Source organism: Homo sapiens, chromosome 3 (assembly GCF_000001405.40).
Source record: "Homo sapiens chromosome 3, GRCh38.p14 Primary Assembly".
NCBI lineage: Eukaryota > Metazoa > Chordata > Mammalia > Primates > Hominidae > Homo > Homo sapiens.
In genome coordinates this window covers 81,603,384-81,618,072 of record NC_000003.12, presented here as the reverse complement: position 1 = coordinate 81,618,072, position 14,689 = coordinate 81,603,384, and the positions used below count along the sequence as shown (strand labels likewise).

The 14,689-nt window shown below is 35.3% G+C and overlaps 1 protein-coding gene and 1 pseudogene across 2 annotated transcripts in view; both read left to right on the top strand.

Annotated features, from left to right (window-relative positions):
• GBE1 (1,4-alpha-glucan branching enzyme 1) overlaps nt 1-14,689 on the top strand; it is a 271,943-nt gene that overhangs the window by 143,573 nt on the left and 113,681 nt on the right. The window lies entirely within an intron of this gene.
• SETP6 (SET pseudogene 6) lies at nt 5,267-5,827 on the top strand (annotated as a pseudogene).

Sequence of the window (14,689 nt, the reverse complement as noted above, 5' to 3'; positions counted from 1 at the left end):
TCCTTCTCTTTAATTTTTAACTTATGTCACTGTGCAGACATCAAAATAACAGTAAAAGGATACTAGGAATAACTCTACATACATACATTTGGTAATTTAGATGAAATGGATCTATTTCTAAAAAAACGCTACCACAACTTACCAAATCTGAAATACTATAATTACCCTGTAACTATTAATAAAATTTAATTTGTAACTTAAAAGCATGTAACATAGGAAAACCTACATGTACATGTGTTTTCAATGGGCAATTTTCTGAAACATTTGAAGAAGAATTCACACTAATCTAGTATAGATTCTTCCAGAAAAGAGAAAAAGAAGGAACACTACCCAATTCATTTTATGAAGCCAGTATTGCCCTAATATTAGAACCAGATAAAGATAGTAATAAGAAGATAACTACGGGTCAATATTCCTCGTGAATTAGGAGCAAAATTCTTAACAAGATATTAGCAAATACAATTCAGCAATATATAAAAAGAATTATACACCATAACCAAGTAGGGTTTATTCTAGAAATATTAAGCTTGTTTTGTATTTAAAATCCCAACACAACACAGTAACAAGCTAAAGAAGAAAAAAATTATATTAGTTGATGAAGAAAAAGTATTTTGCCAAATTAAACACCCATTTGAAATAAAATGGCTCAGAGTAATAGGAACAGAGGGGAACTGTCAAGTCTTAATAAAGAAGATCTGTTAAAAACTGAAATGTGACAATATACTTAGTGGCTAACGTCTAAATTCTTTCTTTCTAACTTTGGGAACAAGACAAAGAAGTCCACTATCACCATTCTTATTTAACACAGTGCTGGGAATTCTGGCTAATGAAATAAAGCCAAAAATAAATAAAAAGAAAAGAAAATAAGACATAGAGATCAGAATGGATAAATAAAACTTTCCTTTCTCTTTGTGGTTGACATGATTGTATATATAGAATATAGAAAATACCAAGGAATCTAAACAAACCCCTCCAGAATTTAATAAATGAGATGAGCAAGGTTGCAGTTGTATTTCTATATACTAGTAATGAACAGGTGGTTATTAAAATTAAAAAATATACTATTTATAAACACTTATTCTCTCCCTCCTTCTCTCTTTCCCTTCCTACATCCCTTCCTTGAAGTTGTTTCTCTCTTAAAAGAAGTAGTAAGATGTAAATCCAATAAAATATATACAGGAATGTATAATGAAAACTATAAAACACTGATGAAAAAAGAAAATTTAAATAAATGGAGATGCATACTGTGTTCACAGATTGGACAACTCAAAGTAGTAAAGATGTCATTTTTCTCCAAATCAAAAGCTGTTTAAGACAATTCCTATCAAATTCTTGGAAGACATTTTTACAGATGTAGACATAGAGATTATTTCAAAATTATATGGTAAGACAAACATTAGAACACTTAAAACAATCTTGTAAAAGTGGAATAAAGTGGGAGCAATCAGTCTCCCCAATTTTTACTCTTATATAGTTATAGTAATCAAGACTGTGTGGTATCAGTGGAGGGATAGACATATTGATGGAACAGAATAGACAACCCAGAAATAGACCTACGCAAATATGCACGACTAATTTTTGACAAAAGCACAAAAGCATTGCAGTGGAGGAATGATAGACTTTTCAACAAATGATACGAGAGCTGTTGGACATCCATAGAAATAAACTTCAACCTAAATTTTCTACCTTATGCAAAAGTTTACTAAAATAGATTATAGATTAACACGTAAAATGTGAAAATGTTAGAAAAATAAAACTGGAGAAAATCTTCAGCTGTAGGATTAGTCAAAGAGTTCTTAGACTTGACATGAGAATACTGTCAATACAAGGAAAAATTGATAAATTGGACTACTTCAAGATTGTGATATAAAGTTCTTGTTAAGATGATGAAATGACAAGCTAGAAACTCAGAGAAAATGTTTGCAAAGCATATACCCAAAGAGGTCTCAAATCCACAATACATAAATGTGTCAAAACGCTACAATTAAAATAATCATAAAATGGCAAGAAAACAGAATATATAGATGGCCAATAAGCAGATGAAAATATATTCAACATCATTAGGGAAATGGATACTAAAACTACAATGAGATATCACTACATATCTATCAGACTGCTAAAATTAAAATAGTAACTACACCAAATGCTGGTGAGGATTCAAGAAGACTGGATCATTCCTGGTGTGCATGTAAAATACTATAATCACTGCAAAACAATGTAGTAGTTTCTTGTAAAACTAAATATGCAGTTGTCATACATGCCAGCAAGCAGTTGCACTCCTGCATATGTATTCCAGATAAATTAAAACTGTTTTCACACAGAAACATACACTTAAATGTTCATTGTAACTTTATTCATCATAGCCAGTACCTGAGAACAACCCACTTGTTCTTCAGTATATTAAACAGAGTGTAGTACATCCATATCATGGAGTACTACTCAGCAATAAAAATGAGTAATCTGTTAATACACACAACTTGAATGAATCTCCAGAGGATTATGTGGAGTAGCAAAAGCTCGTCCCCAAAGGGACATATTCCATTTTGTTTAATCCCATTTATATTATCATTCTTGTAGTGACAAAGAAATGGAGAAGAAATTAGTGTTTTCCAGGGCTGAGGGTGGTGGTGAGAAAACAGGAGTGCTCTGGATGCAACTATGAAAGAACAAGAGGATTCCTTCTAGTGACACAATTGTTCTGTATCTTGGCTGTATTGATGCCAATATCCTGGCTGTGATATTGTACCACAGTTTTCCAGATGTTATTTGGGGAAAATGGGTAAAGTGAACACAGTACCCCTCTGTATCATTTCTCATAACTGCATATAAATCTACAGCTTTCTCAAGATAAAAAGTTTAAGAATTTTGGTTTTGCATACAAATTCTAAAGCAGCTGGAAGAAAATATACCCACGATTAATAATTATTTAAGTATTCCCTCTTGACGGCATTTGGCAGTAGTCTTCATTTTCAAAAACCTATTGACATAGCTAATACATTTTCAAATAGATTCTTTATTTTTAAAACAATACAAAACTTTTTTTTTTTTTTGAGAAAAAAGTCTCATTCTGTAACCTATGCTGGAGTACAGCTCACTGTAGCCTTGAGCTCCTGGGCCCTGGGCTCAGACGATTCTCCCACCTCAGCCTCCCAAGTAGCTGGAACCACAGGCACATGCCACCACACCTAGCTAATTTTCCTTATTTATTTATTGAGATGGAATGTCACTCTGTCTCCCAGGCTGGGGTGCAATGGCATGATCTCTTGGCTCACTGCAACCTCCGCCTCCTGGGTTCAAGCGATTCTCCTGCCTCAGCCTCCTGAGTAGCTGGGATTACAGGCACGTGCCACCATGCCCAGCTAATTTTTTGTATCTTTAGTAGAGAAGGGTTTTCACCATGTTGGCCAGGCTGGTCTGGATCTTTTGACCTTGTGATCTGCCCACCTCAGCCTCCCAAAGTGCTGGGATTATAGGCATGAGTCACCGTGCTGATTTTCCTTATTTTTTTTGTAGAAAAGAAGTCTCAAATTCCTGGGCTCAAGCAATACTCCCCACCCCAGCCCCCGCCTTGGCCTCCCACAGAGTTGGGATTGCAGGCATGAGCCACCATGTCTGGCCTCAAATAGATTCTTAAAAAGCAACTTGTATTTTAATTTAGTCAAATCAGGGACATCTGCTGCTTATGCAGTCACTTAGAACATCAATGCCAATTAAGAACATTTTGATTGAGAACTAATCTTCAATTTCGCAGTTCAGAAATTATGGTAGGGTTTTTTCCCCCCCTAGATTAGATTGAGATATAGGGGACACACACCAAATTTATAGAGAAAGATATTTTAAAAATTGTTGACCTAGTAATATTAGATGAGATAGATGCTTTAAAAGTAATTGTGAAGCAAGAGTGGTGGTGTGCACCTGTAGTCCCAACTACTTGGGAGGCTGAGGCAGGAGGATCACTTGACCCCAGGAGTTTCAGGCTGCAGTGAGCCATGATTACACCACTGGACAACAGAGCCAGACCTGACTCTAAAAAAACAAAAAAAAGTAACTCAGATTTTGGGGTTCACTAAGCAACTTACCTTTGTTTCAGAGTTTATGAATGCTATCAGTAGTTTTAAGGGTTTTTTTTTTTTTTTGGTGTGTGTGTGTGAACACGTTTAGTTTTATTGTAACAAAGCTTGTACACTTTCAATGTTTAAAACTGAGCATCATCTTTCCTTTCCAGTGAAACAAAGAGAAAATTTAAAAATAAACAAGAACATAATTACAATAGAGAATGTTAATACCAAGTAAGACCCTACAGGTTCTGCTGATTCTCCCACTGAGTGGCAGGGCCCAAGCCATCATTAGGGGAGGATTTATTTTGAAAGTGTCATCTTAAACTGCAAGGATGTCTGTCAGATATCACAATTAAACATGCCAAAGGAGAAATCATATTGTCAAAATGCCCACTTAACCCACTGAAACGTCTCAAACTCACCCCTTGCTGACCTTCTATAACCCCATTGTTTAAGTTTTTTTTTTCTTTTTTTAAACAAGAGAAAATAGACAGATACATGTTGGTATATGCTAACTGTCCATATTCACATAGAGACACAGTGTGCTCTCTGATCCCAATATACAGAGAAAGGAGGAAAAAACTAGAATTGTATGCACTACTACACAGGGACTTAGCACCCTCCAGATTCCAGTAGCGTGAAGGGAGCAGGTTTTTTCTTTTTTCCCACAGAGCTTGGGGGTGTTGATTCCATATAGTTCAGACAGGAAGGGATAAAAATGAATTTTGAACAGAAAGGGGTAGAGACTCTTTTCCTGTTCTATTCTGCTCAAGGTATTTTCTCCAAAATAAGTTGAGAATCATGGTGTAGAGAAAAGAGACCTCAAGAACAGGGTGACTGAGGACAAGATTAAAAAAAAAAAAAAAGACTGCAGCTTGCTCCCAAGGACTGGAGAACATTTTAAAAAAGGAAGGTCGGAATCCATCAGTGTTCTATTAGTCATCTTCTCCTTCATCCTCCTCTCTTTCCTCCCCTTCATCATCTTCATCTTCTTCACCTTCATCCTTATCCCCTACTTCATCAGTATCTTCTAATCCTTCCTCCTTTGCGTCATCATCGTCATCATCATCATCATCTTTTTCTCCTTTTCCTTCTTCATCATCCATATCAGGAACCAAGTAGTACTGTAATGGTTTTGGCCAAATATTGTCTTTGATGAACTCTCCTAACTCATCCACACCTGCATCAGAATAGTCAGCAAATCAGGTAAAGAAGCTCTCTGGACCACCTCCTGCTGTGGGACCCAAGGAGACATCTGCTCCTGCAGGCTTGCCTAAAAAGGGACAAGAAGAACAGTAAGAAGCAATTGAACACAGTGATGAAGTACAAAATGAAATAGACTTAATGTGAGGAGATTTTGAAAGTCGAATAGAAATGTAACAAACTCCGCCAACCACTTTTTCAGAAGAGGTCAGAACTGATCGCCAACATCCCAAATTTGGGGGTAACAACATTTCTCAACCATCCACCAGTGTTCGCACTGCTTGGGGAGAAGGACGAAGATGCACTGCATTATTTGACCAGAGTTGAAGTGACAGAATTTGAAGATATTAAATCAGGTTACAGGATAGATTTTTATTTTGATGAAAATCCTTACTTTGAAAATAAAATTATTCCCAAAGAATTTCATCCTAATGAGCGTGGTGATCCATCTTCAAAGTCCACCGAAATCAAATGGAAATCTGGAATGGATTTGACGAAACATTAAAGTCAAACGCAGAATAAAGCCAGCAGGAAGAGGCAACATGAGGAACCAGAGAGCTTCTTTAAGTTTTTTTTTTTTTTTTTTTTTTTAAAGGAGCGTGGATTTAACACTGTAAAAGTGGCATGATTTTAGTAGATACGTAATCTTGATAAAGAAAATGTCTTATGAACCATTCCTGCCTAAAAAGTTCTAATATTCCTATAATTTGAAAGTTTGCGCTCTTAAACTAGTGTTTGTTTCTTCCCACCACTGCTAAGTTAGTACTGATTAATGCATATTAGTAAGATTAGTAATAATGTTTGCTTTTACTAGGCATGATGTCAAAAATGCTTTTTTCCAATATGATTTCTCTTGAGGTTTTTCTTGTGTTTCTTCAGTATATCCTGTTTTTCATAATTCAAAAACTTGTCACGTTGCTTGTGTTTGGATATTCCCTGACTCTTCATCAAAAAAGCATTTGCAAACTATGTCTTAGTTATATTTATTTCTTCTACTAACTAATGCTATTCATTATATGCTTGTATTTTACTTTGACATGCCCTCTTTATCAGCTTGAGAGCTGTCCAATTATAGACAATTCTCATCCTAAAAAATTCAGACTCTAGACTTGGAAAGGACCTCAATATTATAGTTTAATCTTTAGTCTTTTCTTTAGCATCCCTAATTCACCTTTCCCTTGAAGGTCTTCAGAAGATGAAACTGATCTTGTAAGATAGCTCATTTCGTATTTGGACGGGTCTCTCCATTAGAAAATTCTTTTTTATATTGAGTTTAGAATCTGTCTACCAATTTGTAACCCATGGAAGCTCACAAAGCCGATCCAATCACTTTTCTACATCGTGTGCCTTTGAATATTATACCCTGGGCTGCTTCTATTTCCAGAGCTTGTATTTCCATTTTCCCCCAATTGTTTTTCCTATTGCATTACTTGGTTTTGAATTCTTATTTATTAACAAACCTGAATTTGTCTATATCCCTCTTAAATGTAGAATACTGAACTGAATGTACTATACCAGATGAGTTCTGACTTTTCATATTATATTTTAGTCAGAAATTTCTTAGCCATTGCCCAGTACAGGAATGCATCCGCCACATCCTTGTTTGCTATTTTATACTTGAAAAGTGCAATTGTGTCAAAATATTTTCAGTGTATTAAGATTTGGTGCTGTTCTGTCTTCTAGACTCCTATAAATAATTTGTATACAAGGTAGCAGGGGAAAAAAAATCACTCTTTAGTGACAATTTTTTTTTTCTAACCTGACTTAATCTCCATTGAGAGTACTATAAAGATTACTTTTTTTTTTTAAAGCCCCAGTATATGTCTGGCAAAATCTTAAAATCAATCATTTAATTTAAATTGGATTTCAAAAGAAGGTCGCTAGATGAAATCCCTTGCTGTAGTTAGTGAATGAAGGTTTATGTTAAAGGAGGGAAAGCCAACCACTTTTATGTTTTTAACGGGCTAAATTGGGAACTTGTCAGTGCTCACAATCCAGTTCTTCAAAATTATAAAACTAAACTTGAAAGCACCCTGGTCACCTCTGACCCACTGTGGAACACGGTGCCCCCCATTGAAGAGGAAAGGGGTGCAGTTCTTTTCAAGTAGAGCCACCTGCAGTCACAGGTGTTCTCCGCAAGCCTTGGCGCTTCAGAGAGCTATGGTATTTTTGCTTCTGCCAGCCATTGTGATGACAGTACCTCTGAAGTTCCTGGGCCATATTCAAACCTTGTCTCTCAAAAGCCACATTAGAAATATATATGCCACCCCCAATTTCTCAAAAATGGTGTTCTTTTTCCTGTTTTAATAAGATAATCAACCTTCAAATAGGTCTTTTCTTATGAAGTGTTTATGGATTATGAGAAACAAATGTAGACCTTTTGTTTATGAACATGGACAAAATTTTATTCACAAGAACATATTTATCTTCAACTACTTAGTACTCTTTCAACTTTAAAAGAGATACTTTTCAGTTTATTTTAAAACTATTGCCAAAGACTAGCAAGTGTCTGTAAAAGGATTTTTAAAATACTTCACTGATTAACATGCTGTATCAAAGGTCAAGGGGTTGTATCCTTGGATGATGATAGGGAGAGTTGCTGACTTAGTACTGCTATTGCTCTAGGGTAAAACTCAAAATTTGAACCAGTGGGCCAGACATGTAGCATCATGTAGCATCATAATAGTTGGAAAAGTAAGATAATTTGGAGAAGACTTTATACTTCAGAGCAATACTAATTTTTGTGTAATCCATTATTTTCTTGACACTTTCACATGTTTCTGTGCCTATTGCATTATTTCCTCACATTTGTATCTTTATTGATTTTAAATACCTTTTTACTCTTTTTTCCTCATTTATCCCTCTTGTAACTGGCTGTGAATAAATTTCAATCACGTTTTTATGTTAGTAACAAGTCTGAGTGCCAAATTTGAGCTCTACGAGACTCTATTGTGAGCAATTTATATGTTTACAATCTCTAACGTCTGCACTAAAATGTTCTAATACTGCAATTCTTTCCAAAGTAGGTTTGACCATTAGCAACCAACAATATTAACAGTGAAACACTTTGTAAAGGTATAAATCAAAAGAGAAAATTTGTGAATAAGTGGGCTCTAGAAAAGGCAATTGCCATAAAGTCCATGAGCTGCTTGTGACAACATCCAAAGCTTTATTAACTTCACTAATATATCAATAACAAGCAAAATAACAAAAGAAAGCAAAAAAGCAAAAACAAACAAAAACCAAAAAAAAACCCCCAAAATCCTAGGGAGCAAACATTAGAAAATAAGATTTTAGAAGTACAGAAATATATTACCTGTAATCATTGGTATATTTTCCGTGTCTGAGAGTAAAATCTGACTTTAAAGTTTTTTTTGGCTTTGAGCTGTGTTTTTGAGGGTGAAGAGACAGACAGATGTAGACCAATGTTCCAGTCCTTCATTTGTTTGCCCAGGTGATTTTGGAAAATCACTTAATATCTGTTTCAGTTTCCTCATTAGTAATTAGAGGATAATAACTCCTTGAAGGGGTTGAGGATATGTCATCCCAAAATTGGCCACGTAGGCATATTACTGGTTTTGAGTTTTCAGTAAAAGGCACTTGAAAAACAGGCACAAGAAGGACACTTTCATTCCCCTTTTTTCTTCCTGAAAGCAGATGTAACTCCTAAGAGCTGCCCTCCTTATGCCAGGAGGAAAGAAATGTTCTTATCACCAGAGGTGGGACTAGAGGATTCTGTACAAACAGACCTTGTTAAAAATAACTCTACTCTTCCTTTAGTGTCTCCATTCGTTTTAGTTACTTTTCCATATTTGTGATTCTTCGTTCAACCCAGCCTATAAGCATTCAGGTTTTGCTACTTCTTTGAGTCAACGTTTCCTTATGAAGGCTCTTATATTACATAAATTTGTATGCTTTTCTCCTGTTAATCCGTCTTATGTCAATCTAACTCTCAGACTCAGCTGGATACCCTAAACAGGTAAAAGTAAAGATTTTGACTACCCTCTACCCTACCAAAAGTGTAGTGAGAAAATTAAATATGATTATATGGATAAAGCACTGGACACATTATGGATTCCCAATAAAGGATAGTTTTCTCTTTTTTATCCCAGCATGCAGACTGCCAGCAGCCAAAGGGGAGAGGAAATCATCTTAAGGAGTTAACAGATATATCATAACTGACAGTTATTATCTCATGTATGTATTGTTTGGGGGTCATTGAATAATGTTGTGGGAAGTGTTCACAATGACAGTTCTACATGTCAGTGAAATAGCAAATATCACAAACGTATTCCGTGACCTTTAGTGAAGGTTGAAAGAGGTTTTGAAAATGTAATTTAGGAGGGCTTTTCTGAAAAGGAGAAAGATAGTGTTGCACAAATAAGCGGCTTTCCTAAATGCCTGATTTAATCAAGTAATAACATTCAGAATTTATATTTCTTAAATAAAATACTTCTCAAGAAGGGTTTTCAATGGAAGAAGCACCGTGGATTTAACTAGATGGTGCCTCCCCTTTCTTTCCTTGTGCAAAGTACTGACATATGGCATAGCTCATAAGCAGAGATGACAGGGGAGGAGGTGGTAGGGTTGAGGTTACAAATTCCTTCTTATTGGAAATCAGTGGTTTAGCATAGGAAAGTTGAACACTGACCCAGAAAACCCTTGATAGTTATATGAATAGTGACATGCTGACAAAGAGAACATCAGTTTCAGTGAGTATCCAGTTTAGTGACTTTCAACAACATGAATTTTGGTAAAAGTGGATTTAGTCCTAAGGACTTGTGGGGTTAATACACAGTTAATCTTAGATGAACAGGAGCATAACATTTCTTGTGTAAATCTGGCTCTTCTTATCTGTGATCTTCATTTATCTATACTTTTTATGCTGTCCTACGATAAAATTTAGAAAATAATAACAAATACAAAAAAGTAATAAATGATAAAAATTCTAACATAAAAGTTGAATTAAAATAAAACTTAAGTGTTGGGAAATTCAATTAGAAAAGAGTTAAGAAAAAAGAATTAAATTGTTACCAATTGCATAATGGATGACATTTTAGACTTGACTAAGGTCAAATAAAACGATTTTTAAACTGGGAAACATTTTGACAAAATTACATAAATAAGGTAATATTATGCAAAAGAAATTAAAGATAAAATACACAAATTTCAAATAATTAAAATAATATGACAAGACGAATAGTTAGCAGAATTAATTGCCATATTTATTTATTTATTTTTTGTTTTTGTTTTTATTTGTTTTTGAGATGGAATCTTGCTCTGTCGCCAGGCTGGAGTGCAGTGGCTCAATCTTGGCTCACTGTAACCTCTGACTCCCGAGTTCAAGTGATTCTCCTGCCTCAGCCTCCCAAGTAGCTGGGATTACAGGTGTGCGCCACCAAGCCCAGCTAATTTTTGTAGTTTTAGTAGAGATGGGGTTTCACCATGTGGGCCAGGATGGTCCTGATCTCCTGACCTCATGATCCACCCACCTTGGCCTCCCAAAGTGCTGGGATTACAGGTGTGAGCCACCACTCCTGGCCTGCCATATTTATTTTTTAAATAAACTTTATGAAGAGGTAAACAATAGTTTTTCCCCCATTTTTAGACAGCAATGACTATCAGTTCTAAAAAGAAACTTTTTTGAATAAAATAACAAGGCACTGTGAATTTTAAATCATTTTGTGAGGTCTAAACAACTTTTTCTTTTCTGTGCATGATTGACCAAAATGAAGTGAATAAAACCATAAATGGCAATATGGTGTAGCCTGCAGAACAATATGTGTCATTCATTTCTTCAGTTTACAAATATTTACCGTATGGTTTCTAAGCACCAGGCCAGCTGCTAGGCTCTGGGAATACAGCAACAACTAAATAAACGTGACATCTGTACATCTACAGCATAGATTTATTATATTGAGGAAGATTGATAATCAATTTAAAAATGCTACATAATAGCACATAACTTAAAGTAAATAATAATAAACCACGAAATGATCATAGTGTCACATAAATGCTAAGCAAAACATAACCAAAAGTGATATGGTTGGCAGAGTAACTGGGTGTCCAGAGAAGTCCTCTAAGAGATCATATTTGCGTGAAATCTAATTGACATTTGGCTAGGGTCTGACTCAAGGGAAGAGAATTCTAGGCAGAGAGTATAGCTGGTAAGAAATACCTATGTCTGAAATGAGCTTGTCTGTGCTTCAAGAACAGAAAAAAGGGCACTATAGCTGGTGCTTAGTGGGCAGTAGTTGAAATATTAGACTGGATCAGATTATACTGGACCTGTAACCAGGACTGTGGACTGGATTTTATTCCAAGTGAAATCAGACTGTGTTAAATAGCGCAGGGTCTTCCTGCCTGGGCAGGATTTTGACCTGAACATAAATCATTATTCTCAGTCTGGCCATACACTGTACATTTGCAAATGGGCATGGACTTTGATGACAATGTATAGCACCTGGTGCATGGTTTTAGCAATTCCTCCGTGTCATTATATATGAAGAAAAACCCTAAAAGATTCCATGGAACTTTAAAAAGTATATAACAGTTGAAAGAAGGCTCATTTTTAAAGCATAGACTGAATTCTCTAAATTTCATCAGATATCTTGATGTTTTGGGGAGCATAGACTTTTATTTCCTAGAGTGTGCATCACTAGCATTGTAAACGCAAGGTTTCTTCTAGTATTTTGTTTTGTTTTTTATAAACACATCAGTTTGCCTTTTACTCCAGAATATATTTGTTTTTATTTTACCATAGAATATCTGTGTAAATTGCTGGCAAGAAGCAGATATATGTAGTAGTTAACAGCTTTGATCCTGCAATAAGAGACCTGAATTCATTGGCCAGCTGTGTGGGCATATGAATGTTACATACTAACAGTGGTAAAATGAGAATTTTAATTGCAGGGGTCTGCAAAGGATATTGCTTGTGGGCCAAGTGTGAGTGCTGCCTGTTTTTGTAAATAATGTTTTATTGAAATATAGCCATGCCCATTCCTTTACACATCGCCTATGTCCTCTTTCTCCCTACCACAACTGAGTTGAGCCATGCAACGCTGAGACCTTACATGGCCACGAAATCTAAAATGTTTTTTTCTAGCTCTGTACAAAAAAGTGTGCCAATCTCTATTATTATGTGCACCTTTGAGGGTTATTGAGGGAATTACATGAAATAATTCATGCAAAGCACTCAGTACAAGGCCTGCCATTTATTTAGTAAGCATTCAATATATATTTGTAAGTATTAGAATTTTTACACATTCATTTTTTACTGTCAAACAATCAGGTCAAATTGACTGTCATAAATATGCACTGTTATGTGCGTTTCCATGTATCTTTAGAGGTAAAGCACCCAAGCTTGAGAAGTATTTGTTTAAGTAGCCATATTTTGGTGACACTTGGCCATTTCTGCATTAATAACATGCCTGGATGTTGGAACTTCTATTTTGGCCACTAGTTTATCCTTAATTCGGATATTATAAATTATATATATGTAAAAGTTTTTGGTTATATTAGAGCAATATGGGTAGATTGTTAAATTAATCATTGCAGAACCCTTTGAAAGTCTAGGCAGCAATGTGCAAATGCAAAATTTATAACTGGAGCAAACAAAAAGAAGCTGATGATTCCTTAAGGATATTGATGTTTTTTTGGTTTCTTCCTTTTGTTGTCATCACCAGAGATTTATATTACATTTGGGGAAATTTTCAATATTTAATCATAAGCATTTTTATTCCAATGTAGGCCATACATTCACCAATATGAGCTTACTCTCACTAGAGGCTGGCCATATTTTTTTTTGATTTAAAAAAAATTGAGGCATATGTTTGCATGAATGCCCATGTGTGTTAAAACTTCTAATAAACAATACGGAAAGATGATCAGTGAAGAATTTAATGATTTTACTTCTTATGGTGTTAAACATGTTATGAAAGGTCTCTAAAGAGAAATTGTAAGCTGTGGGGGGAAAGGAAGAAAAGAAGAGGAAAATCTATTATTTGAACATTTCAGTTAAATAATTTCTTACTTAAGTTTTCCTCATGAAAATACCACTTTTGTAGGTTTCCAAAAAGTATCATAATCATTGCTTATGTGCCTTTATTTTAGTGAAGTAAAGAGTTTTGTTGTTCTTAATTTCCAGTTCCATTTCCAACGACTATGAAAACATTATTTAACTTTATATATTACTTTTCAATTTGTTTATTTTTACTGCTTCAGAGTTAATGTTGTATTTAAAAGATAAATTAATCCCAGCAATTTGGGAGACCGAGGTGGGCAGATTGCTTCAGTCCAGGAGTTCAAGACCAGGCTAGGAAACATGACAAAACCCTGCCTCTACACAAAATACAAAAATTAGCCTGGCGTCGTGGTGCACTCCTGTCATCCCAGCTACTTGGGGGCTGAGGTGAGAGGATAACTTGAGCCCAGGAGGTCCAGGATGTAGTGAGATGAGATGGTGCCACTGCATATCAGCCTGGGCAAGAAAGTGAGACCCTTTCTCAAAAAAAAAAAAAAAAAAAGAAAGAAAGAAAAGAAAAGTTAATATTTTATGTGAATGTCTTAGCTTTCTATGTACATTATTAATTTAGTTCAGGTCAGTTTGTTTGAAACTAATATAAAGAAAAGGCACAAGATACGGTTCTTAACGTTTAGACAATAATTTATGATTATGTTGGGAAAACAGGACTTACTTGCATGAACCAGTTTGTCTCTTATTGTCTCTCACATGGCATTCATATAAAAAATAAGAAGATTTTGTGAACCTTGAGCTGGGCTATCAATTGAGATTGTGGGATTCGGTGCTGGTTGAATTTGGTTTTATAATATTTTTGAGTGTGGATGTCATTTTTTTCAGGCCATTACTCTATCATTTTCTAAGGCACATTTAATGTCATAAACTTTTGTGTCTGTATTCTAGTAGAATATAGTAAAATCATTCAAATTAGTCTGTATGCTAAAACTCAGAAATGTTAGCCTTGAATTAATTTTTCAGTTTAAATTTAAATTTATAGGCTGGGCATGGTGGCTCATGCCTGTAATCCCAGCACTTTGGGAGGCCGAGGTGGGTGGATCACTTGAGGTCAGAAGTTCAATACCAGCCTGGCCAACATGGTGAAACCCCATCTCTACTAAAAATACAAAAAATTAGCTGGGCGTGGTGGTGGGTGCCTGTAATCCCAGCTACTTGGGAGGCTGAGGCAAGAGAATTGCTTGAACCTGGGAGGCAGAGGTTGCAGGCAAGATTGCGCCACTGCACTCCAGCCTGGGTGACAGAGAGAGACTGTCTCAAAATAAAATAAAATAAATTTAAATTTATAAAAATATATAAGATGGAGATCAAATAATCTGGTACCCTCTTTTCAAAAATTATCACACTGATTTTCAGAGAGATTATCTGTTTATATACTGATTTTTCAAAATTG